At 42.1% G+C, this 27,423-nt stretch overlaps 1 long non-coding RNA gene and 1 pseudogene across 1 annotated transcript in view, besides 3 other annotated features; one reads left to right on the top strand and one right to left on the bottom strand.

The window, feature by feature from the left end:
* Positions 1-16,876, bottom strand: part of LINC01182 (long intergenic non-protein coding RNA 1182) — a 276,050-nt gene extending 259,174 nt beyond the window's left edge. Inside the window, exons 1-2 of the long non-coding RNA NR_121681.1 lie at positions 16,704-16,876; positions 14,201-14,308 (exon numbers count right to left, since the gene is read on the bottom strand). This is a non-coding gene — a long non-coding RNA (long intergenic non-protein coding RNA 1182). The remainder of the gene's footprint in view (positions 1-14,200; positions 14,309-16,703) is intronic.
* Positions 6,551-7,088: an enhancer, noted in NCBI's record as "H3K27ac-H3K4me1 hESC enhancer chr4:13666591-13667128 (GRCh37/hg19 assembly coordinates)". NCBI's record gives its function as "activates a minimal SCP1, AML or CMV promoter by ChIP-STARR-seq in primed H9 embryonic stem cells {active_cell/tissue: H9 hESC(primed)}" and the evidence as "EXISTENCE:reporter gene assay evidence [ECO:0000049][PMID:30033119]".
* Positions 7,089-7,627: an enhancer, noted in NCBI's record as "H3K27ac-H3K4me1 hESC enhancer chr4:13666052-13666590 (GRCh37/hg19 assembly coordinates)". NCBI's record gives its function as "activates a minimal SCP1, AML or CMV promoter by ChIP-STARR-seq in naive H9 embryonic stem cells {active_cell/tissue: H9 hESC(naive)}" and the evidence as "EXISTENCE:reporter gene assay evidence [ECO:0000049][PMID:30033119]".
* Positions 17,302-17,351: an enhancer, noted in NCBI's record as "active region_21328". NCBI's record gives its function as "activates an Ori minimal core promoter by ATAC-STARR-seq in GM12878 lymphoblastoid cells {active_cell/tissue: GM12878}" and the evidence as "EXISTENCE:reporter gene assay evidence [ECO:0000049][PMID:35858748]".
* RPL32P12 (ribosomal protein L32 pseudogene 12) lies at positions 23,600-24,405 on the top strand (annotated as a pseudogene).

Below are 27,423 nucleotides of genomic sequence, written 5' to 3'. Positions count from 1 at the left end.
CACTTACATGTATTTTTGTGGTAGGAAGTATCAGTTTTTTGTTTCTATGTTTAGAACTCCCTTAAACATCTCTTGTAAAGCCAGTCTGGTGGTGACAAATTCCCTTAGAGATTGCTTGTCTGGGAAAGACTATAATTTCTCTTTTGTTTATGAAGTTTAGTTTGGCAGAATATGAAATTATTGGTTGGAATTCTTTTTCTTTTAAAATGCTAAAAATAGGCCCCCAATTTCTTCTGGCTTATAAGGTGTCTGCTAAGAAGTCCACTGTTAGTCTGATGTAATATCTTTTATAGGTAATATGGCCTTTTTCTGTAGTTGCCCTTAAGATTTTTTCTTTGGTGTTGACTTTGGAAAATCTGATGAGTACAAGCCTTTGGAATGGTCGTCTTGTATCTTTCAGGAGTTCTCTGCATTTCCTGTATCTGCATGTCAACCCATCTAGTGAGATTGGAGACATTTTCCTAGATTATACCCTCGAATATGTTTTCCAAGATGCATACTTTCTCTTCTTTCTAAAAAGTGCCAATGAATCATAGGTTTGGTCACTTTGCATAATTCCGTATTTCTCATGGTTTTATTCATTTTTCTAAATTCTTTTTTCTTTATTGTTGCCTGACTAGGTTGATTCGAAAGACCAGTCTTCAGGCTCTGAAATTCATTCCTCTGCTTTGTCTAGTCTGTTATCAAGGCTTCCAATTATATTTTAAATTTTCTGCAGTGAATTTTGCAAAGGAATGAAGACTCTTATCAGACAAAACTGTGTATAAATAAATTCTGGCTCTGCATTACCAGTTGTATGACCTTAAAGAAAATACCTGATCTCTTTTTGCCACAAATTTTATATCTGTAAAATACATTTACTGATAGTACTAATCATTAAATTATGAAAATTTAAACTCGTTATATAAAATATATAGCTTGATGTCTTTATAGGCTGGATTGTGCCTCTCCATCAAATTCATATGTTGACAGCTTAGCCCCAGTACCTCAGAATGTGACTGTATTTGCAGACAGCCTTTAAAGAAGTGGCTAAGTTAAAACACGGCTGTCAGACTGGACTCTAATCCAATCTGATTGGTGTCCTTATAAAAAGAAACTTGGACACACAGAAAGAAACCAGGGATGTGCTTACACAGAGGGCAGACCATATGAGGACACAATGAGACTCAAGTAGCCATCTGCAAGCCAAGAAGAGAAGCCTCAGGAAAAATCAAACCTGACAACACCTTCATTTTGGTTTTGTCACCTCCAGAGCTTTGAGCAAATGAATTTCTGTTGTTGAAACCACCTCCTCTGTGGTCTTTTGTTATGGCAGCACTAGCAAACTAATAAAAGTTCCAACACCTAATAAATGTTTGATCACAGTTAGCAATTGTTGTTATCATGGCGATGATGACTAAAGCTTCCTGTAAACCTGTGACATCCAGGAAGGCAACAACTGCTCACATGTGTGTATTGAGTACTCAAAACATGGTTAGGCCAAACTGTGATGTACTTTATGCGTAAAATGAACATAGGATTTCAAAGATTTGCTATAAAAATATAAATATTTCCACTAATAACTTTTTTAGTATTGATTGCTGTTAAAATGATATTTTACATATATTGAGTTAAATCAAATATATGATTAAAGCAAACTCCACATGTTTCTTCTTCCTTTTTTAATGGAGCTAATAGTAAATTTAAAATTGCCTATGTGGCTGGAATCATATTTTAGAGCAGTGCTGCTCTAAAGCCTTCAATGGGAACTGACCACCACAGCTCCAAGCTTGCCTTCTAAGGCCAACAGCAGTGTTCTTTCCACTGCCAATTCCTAGAAAATCTCCTTCTAGTACCAAAGTGTAGTGAAAGAAGCAGAAGGTTTAGAGTCCAACACACCTGGAGTTGAAAGCCTACTTCACCCCTTACTTGGCCTGTGACCTGGAACTTCTCTGAACCTACTGGCTTCTCCCCTGCAAAATGGGAATAATCAACACTAGCTCAAAGGCAATACACATATAAAGTGCTTACCGTTGTCCCTAGCACACAGAAAGTGCATGCTATAAACTGAATATTTGTGTCCCCAAAATCATATGTTGAAATTCTCACCCCAATCTGATGGTACTTGGAGGTGGGGCATTTGGGAGATGATTAAGTCATGAGGCAAGGCCTTTAAAAATGAGCTCACTGCCCTTATAAAAAGCCCTGGAGAGCTCCCTTGTCCCTTCTGTCACATGAGGTTACATAAAATGGTACCATCTGTGAACCAGGGAGTGGGCCTTTTCCAGACTCCAAATCTGCTGGTGCTTTAGCTTGGACTTCCCAGCCCCCACAGCTGTGAGAAATAAATTTCTGTTGTTTATTAGCCACCCAGACCATGGTGTTTTTGTTATAGAAGCCTAAATGGGCTAAGACAGTGAACAATAAACGTTGGCTTTTACTGTTAACTTCGTGAGACATGAAGGGTCTCTTCATTCTCTGAGGAGATGTGACAGGTAAAGGTTTCCAACGAGCCGGGCATGGTGGCTCACGCCTGTAATCCCAGCACTTTGGGAGGCCAAGGCGGGTGGGTCACGAGGGCAGGAGATCGAGACTATCCTGGCTAACACGGTGAAACCCCGTCTCTACTGAAAATACAAAAAAAATTAGCAGGGCATGGTGGCAGGGACCTGTAGTCCCAGCTACTCAGGAGGCTGAGGCAGGAGAATGGGGTGAACCCGGGAGGCAGAGCTTGCAGTGAGCCGAGATCGCACCACTGCACTCCAGCCTGGGTAACAGAGTGAGACTCCGTCTCAAAAAAAAAATAAAATAAAATAAGGTTTCCAACGGTGAGATTGAGTGGAAAGCCCCTGCTGAGGCTACCCTATCTTCAGAGAAGAGCATCCAAAAATTTAAAGAGTCACATTTTCCTCTGCTGCAAACAGAAATATTAAGCTTATCTGAAATGTCCTCTGCCTCCTTCAGCTCATCTTGACCTTTCTGACCTCCATGCCTAGGCTCAGGTGGTTCTGGATTTCTGAGCTATACTTCCTTCTCCTTCTATCAAAATCCAAGCATCTTTCAAGTCATGGGTAAAATATTACCTCATTCATGAAAGAATTATCTGCCATATCCCAGAGACTTGAATATAGAGTCTGAATCCCCTTCAGTTTGCTTTCTCTATGTTACTGGGCACAGAGCCTAACAGATAAAATCTTTGTGGAATAAAGCAAAGTGAACAAAAAGTTGCAGCCTGGACTAGAGAAGAGGGAATGCCAAGACATTATCTACTTAGGGAATAGCTTTACATTTGAAATTTTCACAAAATGCAAAATAGAAAACCCCTATGATTTAAATTTCAAATCCAGTTGTGCTCATGAGTATGGAATTCTAGAAACTCTTTGAAAAATCATCCATCACTCAGGCACCACGAGTAAAAAATCCTCCTCCTCCAAGATCCCAGATCCTCAGACCTTCCTAAATGAGAAAGACATGAATTGGTTCTAGGGAGGAATCACAACTGGAAATCCAAAGCTAAAATGACTTAAAATAGAAATTTGAATAAAAAAGAAAGAACCTCTAAGTATTGCCAGAAACAAGTCGCAAAAGACTAAAACTCAGCATGTACTGCCCACAAACACACACTGAGACAACCCAACCATTACACAGGTAGGCAAAGTACATCATGGATAAGAGCTAAACCACATAACCACATGGCCTGTATTCAGATCTTAGGGCCATTGTTTACCAACTGTGCAACTTTGTACAGGATACTTAACCTTTGTGGGCCTCAGTTTTTCCTTATCCAAAAATAGAGTCATTTAAATTAACATTAATTAAATTATTACCATATGCTAGATACTGCCAAATTATTTCTACACAGCATGCAACAGGATTAAATGGGTTAATATATATGAATCTCTTGATTCAGAATCAGGCTGCTATGGTCTGAACGTTTTTGTCCCCTCAAATTTCATATGTTGAAATTTTAAACCCCTAAGGTTATGGTATTAAGTGGTGGGGCCTTTGGGAGGTAATTAGATCACAAGAACATAGCCCTTATAAGTGGGGTTGGTGTCCGTGTCCTTATGAAAAAAAGAGACCTGAGAGAGACCCCTCACTCCTTCCACCATGTGGAGACACAGCAAGAAAGCACTATGAACCAGAGAGCAAGCCTTTACCAGACATCAAGTCTGCCAGCACCTTGACCTTGGACTTACCAGACTCCTGAACTGTAACAAATAGATTAATCTGCTTTACAAAGCTACCCAACTTGTAGTATTTTGTTATAACAGCTCAAATTCACAAAGAAGATTGGAATCAAGAATTGGGGGTGCTACTGTAACAAAGATCTAAAAATATGGAAGCAGATTTGAAATGGGATCATGGGTAGACGCTAGAAAAGTTTTGAGGGGTAGGCTAAAACATAGCCTACATTGCCAGGTGGACTGTTAAGGGTGACCCTTGTGAGGGTCAGGATGAAAAGAAGAAAGCTGTATAAAGAGCCTCAACCTTCTAAGGAAATACTTAAGTGGTCATGAACAGAATGTTTGTAGAAATATGGATGGTAAAGGCCATCCTGGTAAGGTTTCAGATAGAAATAAGGAACACGTCATTGGAAACTGGAAGAAAGGTTATCCTTGTTACAAAGTGGCATAGAACTTGGCTGAATTGCTGTGTCTTAGTGTTTTGTGAAAGGTAGAATTTGCACACAAAGAATAGGATATTTGAGGAAATTTCTAAGCAAAGTGTTGAAGGTATGGCTTGGCTCCTCTTGAATATTTATAGTCAAATATAAGAAAAGAAAAATGATTTAAAGACAGAATTTTTAATCAAAAGGGAAACAGAATTTAAAGGTTAAGAAATTTCACAGCCTACCCATATTAAAAGTATCAGAAAGTATATTCAGGAATAGGGTGTGGCCAAGCAACCTTTTGATAAGACTAGTATGGATCATCCAGGACCTATTGTCTGAGACAAGGGAAAAGTAACCCCAAAAGCATTTCAAAGATCATCAAGGCTGCCTTTATCTTCTCAGGCCCAGAGTTCAGAGCCTGGAGGACAGAACAATTTTAAAGAAAGAGCCTCAGACACCTGTGGGCCCTCAGCACTGGCTGCCTGGCACTATCTTAGGCTCTACTCCCTACTTTCCAGTGGCAATTCCTGGGTGGCAATTCTCAGCCACCCAGGTGTGGCTCCAGTGAGGCCAAGTGTGTGATGACTGCCATGGTTACTACTTGAGACCATCATTACAGCACTTACTACTGTTACTGCTTGAGACTGTCATTATGACTTCACGAAGGGACGAACGTAGAAATGATAACAAAAAACAAAAGTAACTATTTTAAGGAAAGGCTAGCATGGGGAAGAGGAAGAGAGAAGAAGAGAAGAGGATAAGGGCTCCCTGCTTCTAGAGAGCAAAGGCAGCTGCGCAAGCTTCCACAGCCCTTCTTATTTATTGGGTAGAATGAGCAGGAAGGAGGAGGTAATGACTGGTCAGCTGCTTAATTGATCACAGGTTCATATTGTTACTAACAGGCTTCAATTATGCCTAATCATAAGAAACACTTGTGCCTGGGTCATGACTGCCTTCAGCAGTCCTTCTGGGTGGCAGATGCAGTTTGTCAGTTTGCCAAAATTCTGCATTTATGAGCAACAGTTTGCTGCTTACTCATATAGTCTCCAGTGGTATACTGAGTTGATCACGACCCTCACTCTTTAAGCCTCCAACAAGGTGTGGTGCAGGTCACTGTGGCTGTCCTTCCGGAAGGCATAAATAATAAATCTTGGCAGCATCCACAAGGTACCATATCTGCCAATAACAAAGTGCATGAGCCATGGGTGTATGGCCGCCTCTACCCAGATTTAGAAAGATGGAGCTGCTCAGAGCCTCAGGCTCATGACTCATGAGAGGGGCCATAGGGTACAGCCACCACAGGGAGCCCCGACTAGAGCAATGCTCAATAGAGCCATGGGATCAGGGTCACCATCCCAGTAAGACTAGAGAACAGGGCCTGGAGTCAAAGAAAATCATTCTCAAGCCTTGAGGTTTTAGACTAGCCCAGGACCTGTCACTCGTTTTTTCTTTTCTATTTCTCTCTTTTGGAATGGGAATGTCTTGCTGTGCCTGTTCCACCATTGCATTTTGGAAGCATATAACTTGTTTGGTTTCATAGTCTCACAGCTAGAAGAGAATCTGTCTCATAATGAATCATATCTTCAGTCTCACCCACATCTGATATCTAAATATCATATTTAGATGAGACATTGGACTTAGACTTTAAAGTCAGTGCTGGCACAAGTTAAGACTTTTGAAGCTATTGGAATGGAATAAATGTATTTTGCATGTAGGAAAGACATGAATTTTGGGGGAAGCCAGAATACAATGCTATGGACTGAATATTTATGTCTCCCCAGAATTCATAAGTGGAAATTCTAGCCTCCCAAGGTAATGGTATTTAAAGGTGGAGCCTTTGGGAGGTGATTAGATGATGGGTTTAAAGCCCTTATGAGTGGGGATTAGTGCCCTTATGAAAAAGGTCCCAGAGGGACCTCTCACTCCTTCTATCATGTGAGGGCATGGTGAGAAGGTGCCATCTATGAACCAGAGAACAGGCCCTCACCAGACATTGAATCTGCCAACACCTTGATCTTGGATTTCTCAGCCTCCAGAACAGTGAGAAATAAATTTCTATTGTTTATAAGCCACCCAGTCTATAATATTTTGTTATAGCAGCAAGAATTAAGACACTGGCACAGGGTAAATATGTATAGCAACAAGTAGTAGTAATTGTGGTGGTGGTCGTAGTTGGCTTTGTTTTTAAGAAAGACACTATGGGGTGGGGGGAGCCAAGATGGCCGAATAGGAACAGCTCCGGTCTACAGCTCCCAGCGTGAGTGATGCAGAAGACGGGTGATTTCTGCATTTCCATCTGAGGTACCGGGTTCATCTCTCTAGGGAGTGCCAGACAGTGGGCGCAGGTCAGTGGGTGCGCGCACTGTGCGCGAGCCGAAGCAGGGTGAGGCATTGCCTCACTCGGGAAGCGCAAGGAGTCAGGGAGTTCCCTTTCCTAGTCAAAGAAAGGGGTGACAGACAGCACCTGGAAAATCGGGTCACTCCCACCCAAATACTGCGCTTTTCCGACGGGCTTAAAAAACGGCGCACCACGAGATTATATCCCGCACCTGGCTCAGAGGGTCCTATGCACAGGGAGTCTCGCTGATTGCTAGCACAGCAGTGTGAGATCAAACTGCAGGGCGGCAGCGAGGCTGGGGGAGGGGCGCCCACCATTGCCCAGGCTTGCTTAGGTAAACAAAGCAGCCCAGAAGCTCGAACTGGGTGGAGCCCACCACAGCTCAAGGAGGCCTGCCTGCCTCTGTAGGCTCCACCTCTGGGGGCAGGGCACAGACAAACAAAAAGACAGCAGTAACCTCTGCAGACTTAAATGTCCCTGTCTGACAGCTTTGAAGAGAGCAGTGGTTCTCCCAGTACCCAGTGGGAGATCTGAGAATGGGCAGACTGCTTCCTCAAGTGGGTCCCTGACCCCTGACCCCTGAGCAGCCAAACTGGGAGGCACCCCACAGCAGTGGCACACTGACACCTCACACAGCAGGGTACTCCAACATTCAAAGATGTTCTTTGAAACCAACGAGAACAAAGACACAACATACCAGAATCTCTGGGACACATTCAAAGCAGTGTGTAGAGGGAAATTTATAGCACTAAATGCCCACAAGAGAAAGCAGGAAAGATCCAAAATTGACACCTTAACATCACAATTAAAAGAACTAGAAAAGCAAGAGCAAACACATTCAAAAGCCAGCAGAAGGCAAGAAATAACTAAAATCAGAGCAGAACTGAAGGAAATAGAGACACAAAAAACCCTTCAAAAAATTAATGAATCCAGGAGCTGGTTTTTTGAAAGGATCAACAAAATAGATAGACTGCTAGCAAGACTAATAAAGAAAAAAAGAAGAATCAAATAGACGCAATAAAAAATGATAAAGGGGATATCACCACCAATCCCACAGAAATACAAACTACCATCAGAGAATACTACAAACACCTCTATGCAAGTAAACTAGAAAATCTAGAAGAAATGGATAAATTCCTCGACACATACACTCTCCCAAGACTAAACCAGGAAGAAGTTGAATCTCTGAATAGACCAATAACAGGATCTGAAATTGTGGCAATAATCAATAGCTTACCAACCAAAAAGAGTCCAGGACCAGATGGATTCACAGCCGAATTCTACCAGAGGTACAAGGAGGAACTGGTACCATTCCTTCTGAAACTATTCCAACCAATAGAAAAAGAGGGAATCCTCCCTAACTCATTTTATGAGGCCAGCATCATTCTGATACCAAAGCCGGGCAGAGACACAACGAAAAAACAGAATTTTAGACCAATATCCTTGATAAACACTGATGCAAAAATCCTCAATAAAATACTGGCAAAACGAATCCAGCAGCACATCAAAAAGCTTATCCACCATGATGAAGTGGGCTTCATCCCTGGGATGCAAGGCTGATTCAACATACGCAAATCAATAAATGTAATCCAGCATATAAACAGAACCAAAGACAAAAACCACATGATTATCTCAATAGATGCAGAAAAGGCCTTTGACAAAATTCAACAACCCTTCATGCTAAAAACTCTCAATAAATTAGGTATTGATGGGATGTATTTCAAAATAATAAGAGCTATCTATGACAAACCCACAGCCAATATCATACTGAATGGGCAAAAACTGGAAGCATTCCCTTTGAAAACTGGCACAAGACAGGGATGCCCTCTCTCACCACTCCTATTCAACATAGTGTTGGAAGTTCTGGCCAGGGCAATTAGGCAGGAGAAGGAAATAAAGGGTATTCAATTAGGAAAAGAGGAACTCAAATTGTCCCTGTTTGCAGACGACATGATTGTATATCTAGAAAACCCCATTGTCTCAGCCCAAAATCTCCTTAAGCTGATAAGCAACTTCAGCAAAGTCTCAGGATACAAAATCAATGTACAAAAATCACAAGCATTCTTATACACCAACAACAGACAAACAGAGAGTCAAATCATGGGTGAACTCCCATTCACAATTGCTTCAAAGAGAATAAAATACCTAGGAATCCAACTTACAAGGGATGTGAAGGACCTCTTCAAGGAGAACTACAAACCACTGCTCAAGGAAATAAAAGAGGATACAAACAAATGGAAGAACATTCCATGCTCATGGGTAGGAAGATTCAATATCGTGAAAATGGCCATACTGCCCAAGGTAATTTACAGATTCAATGCCATCCCCATCAAGCTATCAATGCTTTTCTTCACAGAATTGGAAAAAACTACTTTAAAGTTCATATGGAACCACAAAAGAGCCCGCATCGCCAAGTCAATCCTAAGCCAAAAGAACAAAGCTGGAGGCATCACACTACCTGACTTCAAACTATACTACAAGGCTACAGTAACCAAAACAGCATGGTCCTGGTACCAAAACAGAGATATAGATCAATGGAACAGAACAGAGCCCTCAGAAATAACGCCGCATATCTACAACTATCTGATCTTTGACAAACCTGAGAAAAACAAGCAATGGAGAAAGGATTCCCTATTTAATAAATGGTGCTGGGAAAACTGGCTAGCCATATGGAGAAAGCTGAAACTGGATCCCTTCCTTACACCTTATACAAAAATCAATTCAAGATGGATTAAAGACTTAAACGTTAGACCTAAAACCATAAAAACCCTAGAAGAAAACCTAGGCATTACCATTCAGGATATAGGCATGGGCAAGGACTTCATGGCTAAAACACCAAAAGCAATGGCAACAAAAGACAAAATTGACAAATGGGATCTAATTAAACTAAAGAGCTTCTGCACAGCAAAAGAAAGTACCATCAGAGTGAACAGGCAACCTACAAAATGGGAGAAAATTTTTGCAACCTACTCATCTGACAAAGGGCTAATATCCAGAATCTACAATGAACTCAAACAAATTTACAAGAAAAAAACAAACAACCCCATCAAAAAGTGGGCAAAGGACATGAACAGACACTTCTCAAAAGAAGACATTTATGCAGCCAAAAAAACATGAAAAAATTGCTCATCATCACTGGCCATCAGAGAAATGCAAATCAAAACCACAATGAGATAACCATCTCACACCAGTTAGAATGGCAATCATTAAAAAGTCAGGAAACAACAGGTGCTGGAGAGGATGTGGAAAAATAGGAACACTTTTCCACTGTTGGTGGAACTGTAAACTAGTTCAACCATTGTGGAAGTCAGTGTGGCGATTCCTCAGGGATCTAGAACTAGAAATACCATTTGACCCAGCCACCCCATTATTGGGTATATACCCAAAGGACTATAAATCATGCTGTTATAAAGACACATGCACACATATGTTTATTGCGGTACTATTCACAATAGCAAAGACTTAGAACCAACCCAAATGTCCAACAATGATAGACTGGATTAAGAAAATGTGGCACATATACACCATGGAATACTATGCAGCCATAAAAAATGATGAGTTCATGTCCTTTGTAGGGACATGGATGAAATTGGAAATCATCATTCTCAGTAAACGATCGCAAGAACAAAAAACCAAACACCGCATATTCTCACTCATAGGTGGGAATTGAACAATGAGAACACATGGACACAGGAAGGGGAACATCACACTCTGGGGACTGTTGTGGGGTGGGGGGAGGGGGGAGGGATAGCATTGGGAGATATACCTAATGCTAGATGACGAGTTAGTGGGTGCAGCGCACCAGCATGGCACATGTATACATATGTAACTAACCTGCACTATGTGCACATGTACCCTAAAACTTAAAGTATAATAATAATAATAATAATAATAATAAAAAGAAAGACACTGTCTTCATAGGCTATGGTCAGGTGAATGAACAGGTTCTTTATTTATGAAAAAGCTCAAGCACTAGCCGTATGGCTTTGGCTAAACTTATGAAGCATCTCAGCCTTTGTTTCTCTGATCTCCCAAACATGCAACATGCATAGCAATCAGTTTTACAAGGTTGTTGGGAGACCCAGGTGGGATATTGGAGGTGAAAAGCTGTGGAACTTATCCTTTGTTGATGTTATTCTTGCTTCTGCCTCCACCACTGGGTCATTTTCTGCCCCATTCCCACAGTAAATGGCATAACTTAATGTTTAAAAGACAAACTCCCAGCTTCCCCTTGGGTGAATACATGGTAGTGAGTCATTACTCCATGTCATGTTATCCCAGAGTCTGAACCATGTAGTCTTCAAATTCAGGGAACATCAATAAGCCACATCCTAGAAAGGTCAGCAGAGAAGTAAATGGACCAAATGCATATAGCCAACCTGTCTGCACCTCCAGTCACTCTCACACCATTCTGGCTGCTAGAAGGGCATCCAGTTAGAAGGTAGTTGCAATGACAATGAGCAATATGGTGGTTTTCACCAAACAATCGTGGTGCAGGGGTGGGGTGAGTGGAAAGAGGAACATGGATCTTAGAGATACATGAGAAATGAACACTTCCAGCCCTGCTTATCTGTCACCTCCCACGGAAGTCTTTCTTGGCCACACTGTCAAAAATGCCAACTGCTCCCCATTGCTTTCCAGCTCTTTATAAAATGTAATAATAACTTTATTATTTTTTGAAAGAATAGGGTGTTGATAAGGATTAAATGCGTAATACAGGTAAAGGTTTAAAACAGTGTGTGGCTTATAGTATTTAATAAATGTTAGCTTTTATCATTATTATTACCATTAGTATTTTTATCTAATTACTATTTCATTCTAGCATGTATGATATTCTAAAAGTTTTATTTCGGTTATCTATTTATTCACATAATTGTTATCTGACTTCCCCACTACTGACCTCTATATGGAGGTGTCTATGTTACATCCCTACTAAGTACTTAACAAATAGCAGTTGGTTGGATGAATGATTTAATGAGTGAATGAATAGGCAACTATCACACTCAGCAGACTCATTTTGTCCCATATCCCAATAACCTATTTGTAAGAAACACTTTCTTATCTGAATTTTAGGCATGAAGAAATAATGACACTGAAAACATCGAGTGACTTATTCATACAGGATGAGGATGAGCAGGAGATGAACCCTTATCAAATTCTGGCTCTACACCAAGCACTGTGAGAGACCCACTGATTTATCCAGGCTTCTGGTCATTCATTCCACAAAAACATATTAAGTTTCCACTCTGGGCCATGCATTTGGCCCCTAGACCCATCTGAAAAGAGGAGCTTTAATCCTGGATTACATCTCATTTTTGTAATCTCAATAGGAAAGCAGGTCTCAGAGCAGACCTCACGGTGAGGAGGAGGCAGGGGTACCCCCTCCCCAGAAGCACAGGCCCTGAAGCGTCGTTGGGTCCTTTCTCCCTTTGACATCTGATTTCCTCATAGATGACTGTCATAGCCATAATTCAATTGTCCCAGGACCAGCACATGTGGGTCCAGTTTTGTCAGCCTGCAAGGACATTGTGCAGCTTTGTTTGTTCCAGTGTGGGGAAGGGAGGTGTTGATAAGCATCATCATAATCAGGATCTGCTGTCCATGACTTACCATTCATTTCCTAATCAGTCATCACATTTTGTTCAAGCTTAATGCTGACCTATTGAATTTAACGCCACATTCTGCAGCAAAAAGCCACTGCTGTGTTTACTGGGGGAAATCAGCTAGCTCTTACCCTTGTTGCTGTAGCACGCACAGGAAACTTAGATTTTCAGGATATTCCCCCACCCCCGTGTTATCTAGGAGTTCTCATTTTGTTCAAAGAATGTCCCCTCTGTCTTCCCGCTTTCCCTCCGTGGTGCCAAGACAACCTGAATTACATTAAAGCCCAGGCGGCTCGATATTTAGGCTGCTTTCCTCCTCTCTCCCTTACCCCATTCCCATCAACACACATGCACACATACACCTGTGTGCACACACCCATGCACACACACAAATGGGATGTGAGCCAACAGAACACTGTGTGACCTTGAACCAGTCACATCTTTCTAAGCTTCCATTTCATCAGCTGTAAAATGAGGAGGGCAGACTCAGTTATCCCTTTCTTTTCTAATATTGTATGATTCTAATCTTCCCATCATTCTCAAATGATGGAATTAGAATTATAAAATGTCTGAAATGGAAGACATGCTGAAAACTAATCCACTAATGAAATAATATCCCCATATTTCAATTCTTCCTTATTTTTTGAGACAGCGTCTCACTCTGTCTCCCAGGCTGGAGTGCAGTGACACAATCTTGGCTCACTGAAGCCTCAACCTCCTGGGCTCAAATGCTCTTCCCATCTCAGCCTCCCAAGTACCTGGGACTACATGTGCTCACCACTACACTAGGCTAATTTTGTTCATTTTTTTTGTACAGAGAAGGTCTCACTTTGTTGCCCAGGCTGGTCTCGAACTTCTGGGCTCAAGTGATTCACCCACCTCGGCCTCCCAAAGGGCTGGGCCTACAGGTGTGAACTGCTGCACCCAGCCCACATATTTGAATTATTTTAGTGACACTTTCATCCTTTTTTTCACATCTCCACATTACTATCATTCACTTAACTGGTTTTTCTTTAAATTGACTTTTTTTTTTTTTTAGACAGAGTCTCGCTCTGCCGCCCAGGCTGGAGTGCAGTGGCATGATCTCAGCTCACTGCAAGCTCTGCCTCCTGGGTTCACGCCATTCTCCTGCCTCAGCCTCCCAAGTATCTGGGACTACAAGTGCTCGCCACCACGCCTGGCTAATTTTTTCTATTTTTAGTAGAGATGGGGTTTCACCGTGTTAGCCAGGATGGTCTCGATCTCCTGACCTCGTGATCTGCCCACCTCGGCCTCCCAAAGTGCTGGGTAAATTAACCTTTTTACTTAAATACATATATTTAAAAGGCATCCCTTATCACTATCACAAATAGAAAACCATAATCATTTGCTATACATGTAATCATAATTAAAGGAAAATAAAGCAATCTAAGAAAATTTTGGCTGGGCCCCACTGCCTGCCCAAGGACCCCAAGCTGCTGCTTGTCCCTCTCTGTGGAAATGGCAGCATAGTATATGTTTAAAGGCACTAAGGTCATGTTGGCATCAAAGGAGACTCTTTTTGCCCTAATCAGAATAGAAAAGAGCCACATTCTCTCCCAAGGGATGTCCATTTTATCTAATACAGAGGCTAGGTGCCACCCAAGATCTCTCTCAAGAACTTCACTTTGGATAAAATGGTCTCACCACTGTTCCTTAGGTTAACGTTGTAATTAGTTCATCTAATGCTCCAAATTGCCAATATCTGCATCTTCTTCACCATGACCTTCACCTGCTACCATTGCCAGGCAGCTCCTGTGAGAAAACAGATATGCTCAGAAACACACACACGCACAAGCACATGCTCCAAAACAATTTTTTAAACAACATAATGCTTCCCTGGCACTTCCCCAAGTCCACTGCTCTAGGAATCGCTGACCTCGGGCAGGTCTACGTCACTACTTTTTCTAAAGAAATCGCTGCCCATGTACAACAAAGAGCAACTTCCATTGAGCATTTGGGGAGCTCTTGAAGCGACTTCCTTTTTTCCTTCTCTCTCTTTATAGACGCGATGTGGAGTAGGGAGCAGGTGGTACACCCTTGTGGGAAAACAGGTACAGAGACTGTGGGGGGCAGACAGGGACAAAAGAGAGAGAGACACTGCCTTCTGCTTATTTTGTGTGGTATAGGAAGAAAATATTTAAACGTTTCTACTTTAGATACAGTCTGGCTTCCAATTCCAGTTCTATCATTTTCTAGCAACATAAATTTGGGCAAGTTGCTCAGCCCCTCTGAGCTTTAATCTCCTCCTTAGCAAAATGGCTCTGGTGACACACCCTTCCTTGCGTTGTGAGTGTGTAAGGCAGGTATGGTACCAGGCGCCGAGATAAACATTCATCTAACAGTCCCTTCCTCTTTTACCTTTTGTTTGTTTGTTTTTACTTTGGCACCATTTATGAAGGTCCAAAATAAATCCCTTTTTTATTTGTTTGGTTGTTTGTTTGTTTTGCCTTCTAAATCCTGAGTCTCATCTACAAAGTGGAAAAAAAAAAAAGGCTGTGAATTTCCATAATGTAAGTTTCGTTTTCTATGACTCGATTATGGCAAGTGATGTATAAAGGCTGAGTGGAGTGACAAGGAGGGGCACAGAGAAGAGGGAGGACAAACTTTACACCAGCAAATCCAACAATCGGCCCCTTTTGAAAAATCATTAGCAGCCTGCTGGAAGCTCCAAGTCTCCCAGATTTGGGATATGAGAGAGTAACAACATGAATCTAGAAAATGTGGTGCCTTTCGTGCATAGATTTGAATTAGAGAATTCTTGGTCAGTTTTGCATATGAAGTTGGGGAGAAGGCGTGGGCGGCGCAAAGAAAAACAGAGAAACACCTCCCCCTGCTGCCTGGATGGCGAATAGCAGCAAAGATGCAAAAAAAAAAAAAAAAATTCCATGGTCATATAAAAACCCTCAGCCTATTCCGAGGGTTTGCAAAGGATTCACTATGTGCAGGCAGCTGAATTTTATGGAATGCATTTTCCTATCCTAAGTTACCTTCAAAGGTCATAAAAAATGATCTTAGGACATTATTACAATGATGATGCTTTCCACTGGGCATGTTGTTATTTGTTTCTTGAACAGGAAATATATTAGCGTAACTTTTAAATTAAAATGATATAAAAGTTATAATTGAAAAGTCTTGTTTCTGACTGCCTTACGTATACCTAGCTACTTTTATTAGCTTTTCATATAAATATAAGTAAATGTGACTAATGTAGTCTTCTTTTTTTCCTTCTTACACAATAATTAGCTGTTTGACACTCTTCCGGATATTGTTTTTGTCACTTAACAACATAACTTGGTGATCCTCCCAGAGCCGAAAAGCTCTCCCAGATATGTTTCAGGGCAGCGTAACCTTCCTTGTTCTTCCTTCACTGAGCATGTTATATGTGGAAAGAACACATCCCCACTTGGGGAAACCAGATAAATTGTTTAAATTATTGCAAATGTGAATGATTTTAATGTAGAAATAACCTTTTTCATTCCACATTAATCACAAATACTGTTCACAACCCTTCGTAATAAACTTGTCTCCTGCTTATTTTTTTTTTTCTGGTATTCCTTGTGATTAGAATCTCTCGCCTTGGTATCCGCTGTGTTCAAGAGCAGAACAGAGCTTTGAACTTTACAGGCTAGTGCTCAGAATTAAAAGTGCTTAATGCCACCAAGATTTCTATTAAAAAACCCAGGGTAAAGGAAAAAGCCTTTTGCTTCAGCTGAAATGTTCTTGTAAAGGGCAAAATGGAAAATACAAACACCACTGCCGTTTGCTGGTTGGATACCACAGCCATCGGCACCTCCTGGAAATGGCAAGCCCATGAGTTCCTGATGGAAGCCAAGGTTAGTCTTATTGCATTTGAGAGAGTTAGAAAAGTGTCTTTCAGTGTGGACAGAGAGCCAGCAAGATTGTGAAGGTCAAAGAAAAATCCAATTATCCATAGCAAACACTGACCATACAATTAAATTACACCAGTCAGGAAAGCATCTGATCTTCTGCAACGGACTTCTTCCAGCAAATTTACCCTTGAATCAGTCTGGGCCATTCATTGGCAGCCAGCTGATCAGTTTCCTTCTGCTGCCCTGCATCCTGCAACATGTCTGTAGCAGATGTATCACTGCCCACCTACATCCCCTTGGCCCACCCCAGAGGTCACCTGCAGCTGCAGTGGTCAACTCCCAAGCACGCAGACATCTCAGCATCAAGAACCTGCTTCTCTCTGCCCAAGGGCTTTTTCTGGCCATAGAAGTATCCCCTGCACAGTCCAGATATGCAGGCTGGACAGAAGTTCCAGGGAGCTACCATTCCCAAGAGCAAGCCTCAAGCAATGCCTGGGAGATAAACACCCAGCTCCCTTGCTTGCCCCTTGCCTTGCTGGGGCAATGCCAAAGTGTGTGGTGCCCATACTCTCAGAGGGACACCAGTGCGACTGAGCCCCAGGTGGGACCTACTCATTAACATGCTGTTTATTGGCTTTTCTCTCTTCCCTACTGTCTCATCATTTTTCTGGGATTGACTCCTGTGAGAGCCTTGATCCAGTCAAGAGACAGAAACTACACAGTAAGTTCAACAGGACAAGTGTAACACAGAGTCATTAACTACAATGAAGAGTATAGATATAAGGAAACTCTACAAAGCAACCTAGAGCTACGAGGGAGAACTTAGGAAAAGACGAACTTGAGAAGGATTCAGACCTCTTGGGAAACGGTGAGGTTCAGCCCACGAGACAGCAGAGAAGTTAGCTGCTTTGGCTAGGCTGGAGCCGGCCTGGAATTGCTGGGAACCTCCAGGTGCAGCCAGCCTCCGTTGTGCACGCAGGGGGCGCCAATCAGCAACTGATGGTGAGGGATGGAGCCCGGGAGCTGGCGGGGGCTGCAGGAGGCTGCAGAAGGAGCGGAGCGGCTACTCAACGCCTGACCCTGCCAGCTAAGTGCAGCTGCACACAGGCCGAGCAGAAGCTTGCAAAGGGAGGCTGAGTCCCGGACCCAAGTGTAGCAAGCAGGGAAAGGGAGGGTAGGGCACCGGTAAGGGCAGGAGCCCTTCGGAGGCTCACTCTGTGCTGGGGAGCTCTGCTTTCCATGTCAAGAAGCCTGCACAAAAATTATCACCAAGCCGGGGCTGCAAAGTCACAGAAGGACCAGTTCCACCCGCTGTCCTCGTCCACCCACACTACTGAGCCGCGGTCCCCGCACAACCGGCGGAAACCCTCCTCCAGCTGCGGTGTCCTCCGGCGCCCTCTACTGAGGAAGCCTAGCATCGCGCGCACTTAAAGGAGACGGGCTCAAAGGCACGCCTTCGTTAGTCCCAGAGCATAAATTAATAAAGGGTCCATTCAGAGCTGAGAGGCACAAAAAAAAATTTTTTAAAAAGATAAATACACCTCCAAAGTCCCACTTGCACTCAAACCCTTGTCTCAGGATCTGCTTTTGAAAGAACCCAAATCACGACAATGTCAGACAGAGATGTGATTTTTGTTGACAAAAAGAGTCAGACTCTAAAATATTTAAAGAGATTTATTCTGAGCCAAATATGAGTCACTAATGGCCCATGACATAACCTTCAGGAGATCCTGAGAACATGACCCCAAGGTGATTGGGGCGTCACCTAGATGTATACATTTTAGGGAGACGTGAGACTTCAATTAAATACATTTAAGACATACATTGTTTCAGTCCAGAAAAGGGAAAGTGGGGAGGTCTGCTTCCAGTTGTAGGTAGATTTAAAATTTGTCTGATTTGTCAATTGGTTGAAAGAGTTACTATCTCTAGAAAGAAATGTCTCGGTTACAATAAGAAGTTGTGGAAACCAAGGTTTTATCACGCAGATGAAGCCTCCAGGTAGCAGGCTTCAGAGAGAATAGAATGTAAATGTTTCTTATCAGACTTAAGGTCTGTGTTGATGTTAAATGCTGGCCACGTTTCCTGAATTCCTAAAGAGAGTAGGGTATAACGAGACATGTCTGACACCCCTTCCCGTCATGGCCTGAACCAGTTTTTCAGGTTAACTTTGGAGTGCCCTGGCCAAGAAGGGGTCCATTCAGATGCTTGGAGGGGCTCTAGAATTTTATTTTTTGTTAATATTTTAATCTTGGCTCTGTATGACCTCAAGAAAGGGTTTTATCAGCTTAGAGTCTCCACTTTCTCATCTGCAAGATGGAGGTGATAATAAACAGTCCACCTCACAGGGACTATTCTTGAGAGAATGAAACAAAATAGACCACCTGCTATGCACTTGGTACAAAATAAGTGCTCAAAATAAGTGCTCAATATCACCTCCCTTCCTCCTTTTCAAACCAAATCAAAGCCCCAAAGTTTCTTCTTCCTTTCTTTAAGTAAGAGTCAAGGTATGAGAATGCTCCAAGCTACTCTGCTCAAGACATTTTTCCCTTAAATTTGGCCCAGGCCATCTTGGAGGAAAATGGAGAGATTAGAAGGAGGCCTTGACCTGAAAAGGAATGATTTGAAGTATTGGAAACAAATGATAAACAAGTATTTCTCTACAGAGGAAAAAGTTCCAGTATAGAAGTTCTCTAGGATATGACAATTTCTGTTGGCACTTAAATGAATGAGCTTTAAAGGGAGGAATAGCAGTGTGATAATTGCTACCATTAATTAAGAGTTCACTATGTGCCAAGAATTCAAAGTCATAACCTCTCTTAGTCCTCATAACAATTCTTTAAGGTAAATGCTATTTTTAATCTCATTTATGCAAATGATGAAACAGAGGCTCGAAAAGATGAAGCAGTTTTCCCAAGGTCAGAGCCAGGATTTGATCCCAAGCCTACTTGACTCTAATCCTTGGCTTCAATTGCTATGGTGGATACAACTGGGATTTAGCCTAAGAAGTCAGAAGTCTGCGGTCCTGGTCCAGTCTTTATGTTTAAATCCCTATGTTTTCCAGAGAGTAATTCTTCCCTCCCCAAAGGGATGATTCCTTCAACTGTAAAATGAGAGAGCTGAGTTAGAATCAGGGTTTTTGTAGGGGTGGCACCACACCCAAGGATATTTTGGAAAAGTGTGGGGATAGTTGGTGCTATGATGAGAGGGCACTCAATGGTATTTCATGGTTGAGGACCAAGGTGAGTAAATGCCCTACATGTCCCAGAAAATATCTGTGTAGTTGAAAAAGTTATGTGAATGTAGAACCTTGCTCCATTTTACATCTAAAAACAAAACATTCTTATACCATTTTAATATCCAATGAATTTTCCAGAGTCAATTGAAGAAAGATTGTACTTTATTTTATGATAAATTTTACCAGGAGTTGGTCACTATTTGGTAAATCATATCACCAACAACAGTGCAAAACATGATATGCATTAGCAGAACATCGCCTCTCACTTTGCATTTGTACTGATTATCGATATAGTCACAAATGTCTGTGTATTTCATGAGGCCTTTGAGTGTAGTATTCCCCAGTTATTTGTATATTGAAACACTCATTACCTTATTATAAATTATTTTCTTTAGAGTTTTCTTTTGTAGAATGGTTAGGATACCATATTGATTAAAAATAAAATACATGTGTAAACAGGTTGTATTATCTGTGAACTTCACTTCAAGATATTTAAGGAGGTATTAAAAGATACTTGTTTCAAAAGAGGAATTCTGGGTGCAAGGAGGAATTCTGGGTGCAAGGAGAAAGGTTCTAACTTCTCTATTCACTGAAACAAAAGTCCTAATACAAAGCCAAGAATCAGGATGCCCAAGATACAGATATATTAATTTAATCAAGAATGACTTATTAGCACTGACTTTGAGCCAGGTACTGCTGTGGATTCTGGGGACACAGCAGAGAATAAGACGACCTGAGTCTCTGACCTTGTGAAGCATTCCCGGTAAAAAGCAAATGTCTATGTCTTAGTCTCTTGCTTGTGTTATAACAAAATACCATAGATTTGTTCATTTATAACAACAGAAATGTAGTGATCGTAGCTCTGGAGGCTGAGAGGTCCAAGATAAAGCACCAGCAGATTTGGTGTCTGGTGAGGGCCCGTTCCTTATAGATGGCACCTTCTGTGTGTCCTCACACACTCAAATAGGCAAAAGGACTCCCTCAAATCTCTTTACTAAGGGCATTAATCCCATTTGTGAGGGCTCCACCCTTATCTTATAACCTTACCACCTTAAAAAGGCCCCACCTCTTAATACTATCACACTGATGATTAAGTTTCAGTATATGAATTTCATTAGGACACCAACATTTAGACCATAGTAGCTCATATCTACTAAAGTTAAATATCCACCTAAACTATGGCAGTTTCACTACTAGGTATATGCTAAAGAGAAATAAGGTCACATGCCCACCCAAAGACATTATAAGCAAGTTCATAGAAGCTTTGTTCATAATAACCAAAAACTGCACAACCCAAATGTCACTCAAGAGGAGAAGGGATAAATAAATCATGGTGTATTCATAAAATGGAGTACTACAAAGTAATTTTAAAAAACAACTACTAACATGACAACATGGATGAATCTCATAGACATTATGTTGAAGAAAGAAATCAGACACAAAAATGAAAATACTATATAATTCCACTTGTATGAAATTGAAGAAAAGTCAAAATTAATTGATGGTGGTAAGTATCAGAATAGTAGCACACCTCCTGGAGACATTTTTGACCAGGAAGGTACCCAAGAGAAGCTTCTGGAAAGGTAAGAAAGTTCTATGTCATGGTATGAGTGATGGTTACACAAGTATATACAACTAATTAAAAGTTCATCAAGCTAGACTGGGCATAGTGGCTCACGCCTGTAATCCCAGCACTTTGGGAGGCCGAGGTGCGTAGATCATCTGAGATCAGGAGTTCAAGACCTGCCTGGCCAACATAGTGAAACTCCATCTCTACTAAAAGTACAAAAAATTAGCTGTGTGTGGTGGTGCACACCTGTAGTCTCAGCTACTCGGGAAGTGGAGGCAGGGGAATTGCTTGAACCCAGGAGGCAGAGGTTGCAGTGAGCCAAGATCATGCAATTGCACTCCAGCCTGGGCAATAAGAGCAAAACTCCATCTCAAAGAAAAAGAAAGAGTTCATCAAGCTGAGCACTTAAGATCAGTGCACTTGGACACACCTTAAAGTACCGACATTTTACCTGTTTGTTTTTTTTAAGACTCCATTTGAACACCCGAGTTTAAATAGTCACAAACAAAAGGCTTCTGGAATCAGGCATCTGGGTCCAAATCTCAGATTCTTCTTACCACTTCTTACTTTGTAAGATCTTGAGAAAATGACTTACCTTGTCTATGATTTCATTTTCTTTCATACAGCATGAGAATAATGGGAAGCAGATCACTATGCACTGGTTGCCAACTTGTCTGGGTGCAGTGAGACAGAACACATTCACACACAAGTTAAATGAAGCCGATTTATTACTTATACATAGGAAGCAAGGATAACAGAAGCCTGGGATTCATTGTAAGTGGGCCCCCAAGGCTCAGAAAAGCTTCCTAAGGCAGATGATGCTTCGTCTGCCTGTGCTCTAGTTGCACCGCAGCTAACGAACCAGAGAAAGCAGCCCACCCTGGGTTGTATTCCCTATGGTCACATGACATGCTGGGCTAAAGCACTGAAGGACACCCTGTTTCTTTCTCTTTTTTTTATACTTTTAAGTTCTGGGGTACATGTGCAGAACATGCAGGTTTGTAACATAGGTATACACATGCCATGGTGGTTTGCTGTACCAATCAACCTATCATTTACATTAGGTATTTCTCCTAATGCTATCCCTCCCCTAGTCTCCCACCCCCGACAGGCCCCGGTGTGTGATGTTCTCCTCCCTGTGTCCATGTTCTCATTGTTCAACTCCAACTCCCACTTATGAGTGAGAACATGCAGAGGACACCCTTTTTCTTTAGGAGGTCGGGGCAGGACTGGAACAGAACTCAGGTTGTTCCAGCCATCTCCCTCTTTATCTCAGATGCTACATTCCTGGCACATTCTACAGTTATTCTCAAGAACTACAAGTGGAAAAGGAGTAAAATCTGGGTTGGTCCAAGGCCACCTGGAGCACTGTCCTGCAAAGAGTAATTCATCCCTCTCTGGTTTGTTGAGTGCATTCAAGACATAACACGTGTAGACATAACACGTGTAAAAGTGTCTACCACTCTCCTTATTTTCAATAGCTATTTGTTTCTTCTAGACAAATTTCACACTCCATTAGCTCTGACTTCCCAAAACAAAGCTGTGTCAGTGATGGCAAATTTGTGACATTTGTGTTCCTCAATGCCCCCTCCTGAGCCTTGAAGGATATGGCTAATCTACTATGTCACTCTTCCCTGCTGACCCTTAAAATCCATCTCAACACAGTACTCCCTGAGGCTGCACCACTTCATGAGAGCTGGGCATGAAAGAAAACTTATTTGCCATCCTGGCCTATGTCATATTCATCTTTGCTTTGGCTGTAGTATCTGGTACAAGCACTTGTCAAGCTTGTGAGAAATGAAAAAAGAGCTGATATTTATTTCACATCTAAACTCAACACACTGAAGCTGGAGATTTTTTTACACGTCGTCTCTTAAATCCACACACAAAAAATTCTGTGGGGGCTCATGCCTGTAATCCCAGCACTTTGGGAGGCCCAGGCAGGCAGATCACAAGGTCAGGAGATCGAGACCATCCTGGCTAACACGGTGAAACCGCGTCTCTACTAAAAATACAAAAAAAATTAGCCAGGCGTGGTGGCGGGTGCCTGTAGTCCCAGCTACTCAGGAGGCTGAGGCAGGAGAATGGCATGAACCCGAGAGGTGGAGCTTGTAGTGAGCCGAGATCGCAGCACTGCCCTCCAGCCTGGGCAACAGAGAGAGACTCCATCTCAAAAAAAAAAAAAAAAAAAAATTATGTGGGGGGAAAAAAAGCATAATTCTTGTTAAGAAATAAAAAAATCAAGCTTATTTAAATAAGAAATGCCTGTCCACAGATGACGGACGGTTAAGCCAAGTTTAAATCCAGGTTTGCCTGCCCCAGATGCCCAAGGTCTGTCCACCATGGCATGCCACACTTCATCAACTGTGGACACCCAGTGCAAGTCCAACATTAAGAAAGTAAATATGTTCTCTCTTCCTTGGCACTGCCTATGGAGGCGGCAGCCATCTCCTCCTCAGCATCATGGCCACCTTCATACCCCTTGTGAAGCCCAAAATAGTCAAAAAGAGAACCAAGAAATTCATCGGGCACCGGTCAGACTGATATGTCAAAATTAAGCGTGACTGGCAGAAACCCAGAGGTAGTGACAACAGGGTTCATAGAAGGTTCAAGCTCCAGATCTTGATGCCCAACATTACTTATGGGAGCAACAAAAAAACAAAGCATATGCTGCCCAGTGGCTTCCAGAAGTTCCTGGCCCACAAGGTCAAGGAGCAGGAAGTGCTGCTGATGTGCAACAAATCTTACTGTGCTGAGATTGCTCACAATGTTTCCTCCAACAACCCTGGCCAGCTTTCTTTGGAGCAGTTATCTGTTGGACAGATTCAGGTCCATTAAAATTCTAAAGTATTTCCACTGATAAAAAAACAAGCCTAGAATCCAATGAACTATCAGTCTTTCTCAATGTGTGATGCAGGTCCCACTAGGGAGATACGAGCTTATATGTGATACATGCATGAACATTTTAAGTTTTCATAGTTATATTTATTTTAAAGTCTATTAGGAAAAAATATATAACCATCACATCAGATATGTGATTTCATTGATATTATTGATTAAGATGAGGCTACATTTAATTGAACCGCAAAGCCATCATGGAAAGGGCCACCCCGCTGGCCATCAGAGTCACCAACCCCAATGCCAGGCTGTGCAGTGAAGAAAATGAGTAAGCAGCTCATGCGCATGTTTTGTGTTTAAATAAAACTGTAAACACACACACACACACACACACACACACACACACACAAAACAGAAAAAAGAAAGTAGATATGCAATATCTACTGTCTTCCCTCAACAATAAAATCATCCAGAATTCAGAATGAGAAAAATAGATGTGTTATCCTATTAGAAGTGAGTTAAAAAGAGGATATAGGAAATTATTTCATGCCAAAAAGTAAATAAAAATAAGTGAGTTCTGATGGTTAAAAAAGAGCAAGACAGAATCAACAGCCTGCAAGACTAACAATTCACTGGCTGCTAATTCTGCAGACTGGCTTTTCAAATACAAGCACATTAGGGATTCTGCTAATGGAGCCAAAAGCACCTTCTCTAATTCCAAGTGAAGTGCGGATAGCCGCTCTCTGCCAAGCCTTGTTTTTCTTGCTTTCACTTTGGTTTGCTTCCTGTGGGTTTCATGTACCTCATCAGAAACTGAAGGTGGGAAAACAGAGCTGCTCCCTGACCAAAGTAAAGCTCTCGTAGGGAGGGCCAAGGGGACACACCGAGCACAGACCTCACGCATGTCAAGGCCACTGTTTTGAATCTGAAAGTACACATTGTAATGCCCTCTCCGCTGAGGAGGACATGACCACAGAGAGGAAACAAGAGAAAAGATGGGGAGGAGAAGGAATGCTAGAATGTCAGAGCCAGGAGGGCCTGTGGAGGTCACTTTGCCCATTTTCCCAAATGTCAATCATGTTGGCCATAATCCTATACCACCTGTACTATTACTTACTTATTCTCTTCCTTCAAGTAAGCTCACTTATTCAATTAAATGTAGCCTCATCTTAATCAATAATATCAAAGAAATCACATATTTGATGTGATGTTTATATTTTTTTCCTAATAGACTTTAAAATAAATATAACTATGAAAACTTAAAATGTTCATCCATGTATCACATATAAGCTTGTATCTCCCTAATGGGACCTGTCCCACACCTTGAGAAAGACTGATAATCCATTGGATTCTAGGCTTGTTTTTTAGCAGTGGAAATACTTTGGGGTTTTAATGGACCCCAATCTGTCCAATAGATAACTGCTCTGAAGAAAGCAGGCCAGGGCGGCTGGGAAATCTGGCCTCTTAGCATCTACATTGCTGACCACCTTGCTCAAGACCCCAGAGGTCACTTGGCTCAAGGCTCAAGAAGAAGCATTTGAGGCTAGGCACAGTGGCTCACACCTGTAATCCCTGCACTTTAGGAGGCCAAGGTGGGCAGATTGACTGAGGTCAGGAGTTCGAGACCAGCCTGGCCAACATGGCGAAACCCTGTCCCTACTAAAAATACAAAAAATTAGCCGGGTGTGGTGGCATGTGCCTGTAGTCCCAGCTACTCAGGAGGCTGAGGCAGGAGAATCACTTGAATCCAGGAGGCAGAAGTTGCAGGGAGCTGAGAATGTGCCACTGTACTCCAGCCTGGCAAAACAGCAAGACTCTGTCTCAAAAAAAAAAAAAAAATTTGAAACTCTGTTCCAGCTCCAGCTTTTGTTTTACAGAAAAGTAAATTAAAGCATGAAGAAGAGAAATGATGACAAGAGGTTGCACAGAAAGTTACTGCATAATAGATCTGGAAGCCAAAGTCCTTAATGCACATCTAGAGATCACGGCACTACCCTGTACCCTGGAAAATCTTCAACATGGGCCAAAAAGATGGCACATAATCTTCCTCCACCTCTCTCCCTCCACACCTACTGGTTTGAAGAAACATTTGAGCTGAGAGGAGAGGCAATCTGTGGCTAGGTAGAAAGGCAATGAGGTAGAATTTGGACAATTAATTGCTAGGGTGCTACTCGGGCTGAAAGTTGTTTGGACTGAGAATAGAAGACCAATGCATGGGAGCGTCAAGCTGACAGACACAACCCAAATGCACCTGCACCATGTGGACACCTTTGTTTCCCCAGTTTTCTTCAACTGGCTGAAGCATCTAGAAATGCACCCAAATGTCCAAATCCTACCTGAGAAGCTTTGAAGAATAATTTGATACAAATTCTACACCTTGATTCCTTTCTCACCTGCAGCTCCTCCCTCACCCACCGCTGTCCAGCCATGCCCCTCTAGCATCTTTGTGGGGTCTTTATGTCTAGGGACATCCAGCATCTCCATGTAGAGCAAATTTGCCATTGAAGCATCTTCAGGTCTCCTACCCATCCATCGTGCTGATCCATACAACACAAGCAGTGCAGCCCATTCTGCTGGTGATGAAGTCTTCCTCCTTCAAAGGCTGGAGAGGGGGTCATAAATAATAACACTTTAATAGTTTTTCTCATCCACCACAGCCTAGTTCAATATAAGAAATCATTTTCCAACAACCAGAACTTCCCCCAAAAAGCTGAGTTGACCACTACACACAATGATGTGCCTCCACCACTAGGGGATTGCTTGAAGGGGCACCATTGGGAGATTCTGGCCTCATATGAGGAATTGCACTGAATGACCACTAATATCCCCTTCCAACCCTGTGTTCTCTGGTTCTACAAGGGTTTTGTGGCCTTTGGGTCACAGTGAGGGAGATTATGAAATATACGGCAATTTGGGGGAGTATTTTTGATTGAGAAGCATCTTTGACTCTGGAACAGGAATCAGGAAACCTTTTTCATAAAGAGCCAGAGGGTACAAATAAGTTCTTATTGCAATTATTCAATTCTGTCATTGTAGCATGAAAGCAGCCATGGACAATATGTAAACAAGTAAGAGTTGTAATATTCCAATAAAACTTTATTTATAACACAAGTGGCAGCTGCGTCTTAAATCATTTCAAAATAAAAAGTTAATAAATGCTGACAGCAGGTGAGATTTGACCTGTTGGCTGAGGTCGGCCAACTCTTGCTCTGGAGGAAACCTGTCTACCTGGATAGCTCCCCTCTTCCTTCCTGCTTCACCCAGTCAATCATTGAGTGAGCCTAGTCAGTACCACCTCCTGAATATTATGCGACCACCCATAAGAGAGATAAGCCAGTTTCCTTAGGTAATCAAACCCACATCATCCATGAGGGAGGATCCCAAACTGACCTCC

This window comes from Homo sapiens, chromosome 4 (assembly GCF_000001405.40).
Source record: "Homo sapiens chromosome 4, GRCh38.p14 Primary Assembly".
NCBI classification, from domain to species: Eukaryota; Metazoa; Chordata; class Mammalia; order Primates; family Hominidae; genus Homo; species Homo sapiens.
The sequence above is the reverse complement of the archived record's forward strand: the minus strand, read 5'-3'. Positions and strand labels throughout refer to the sequence as shown.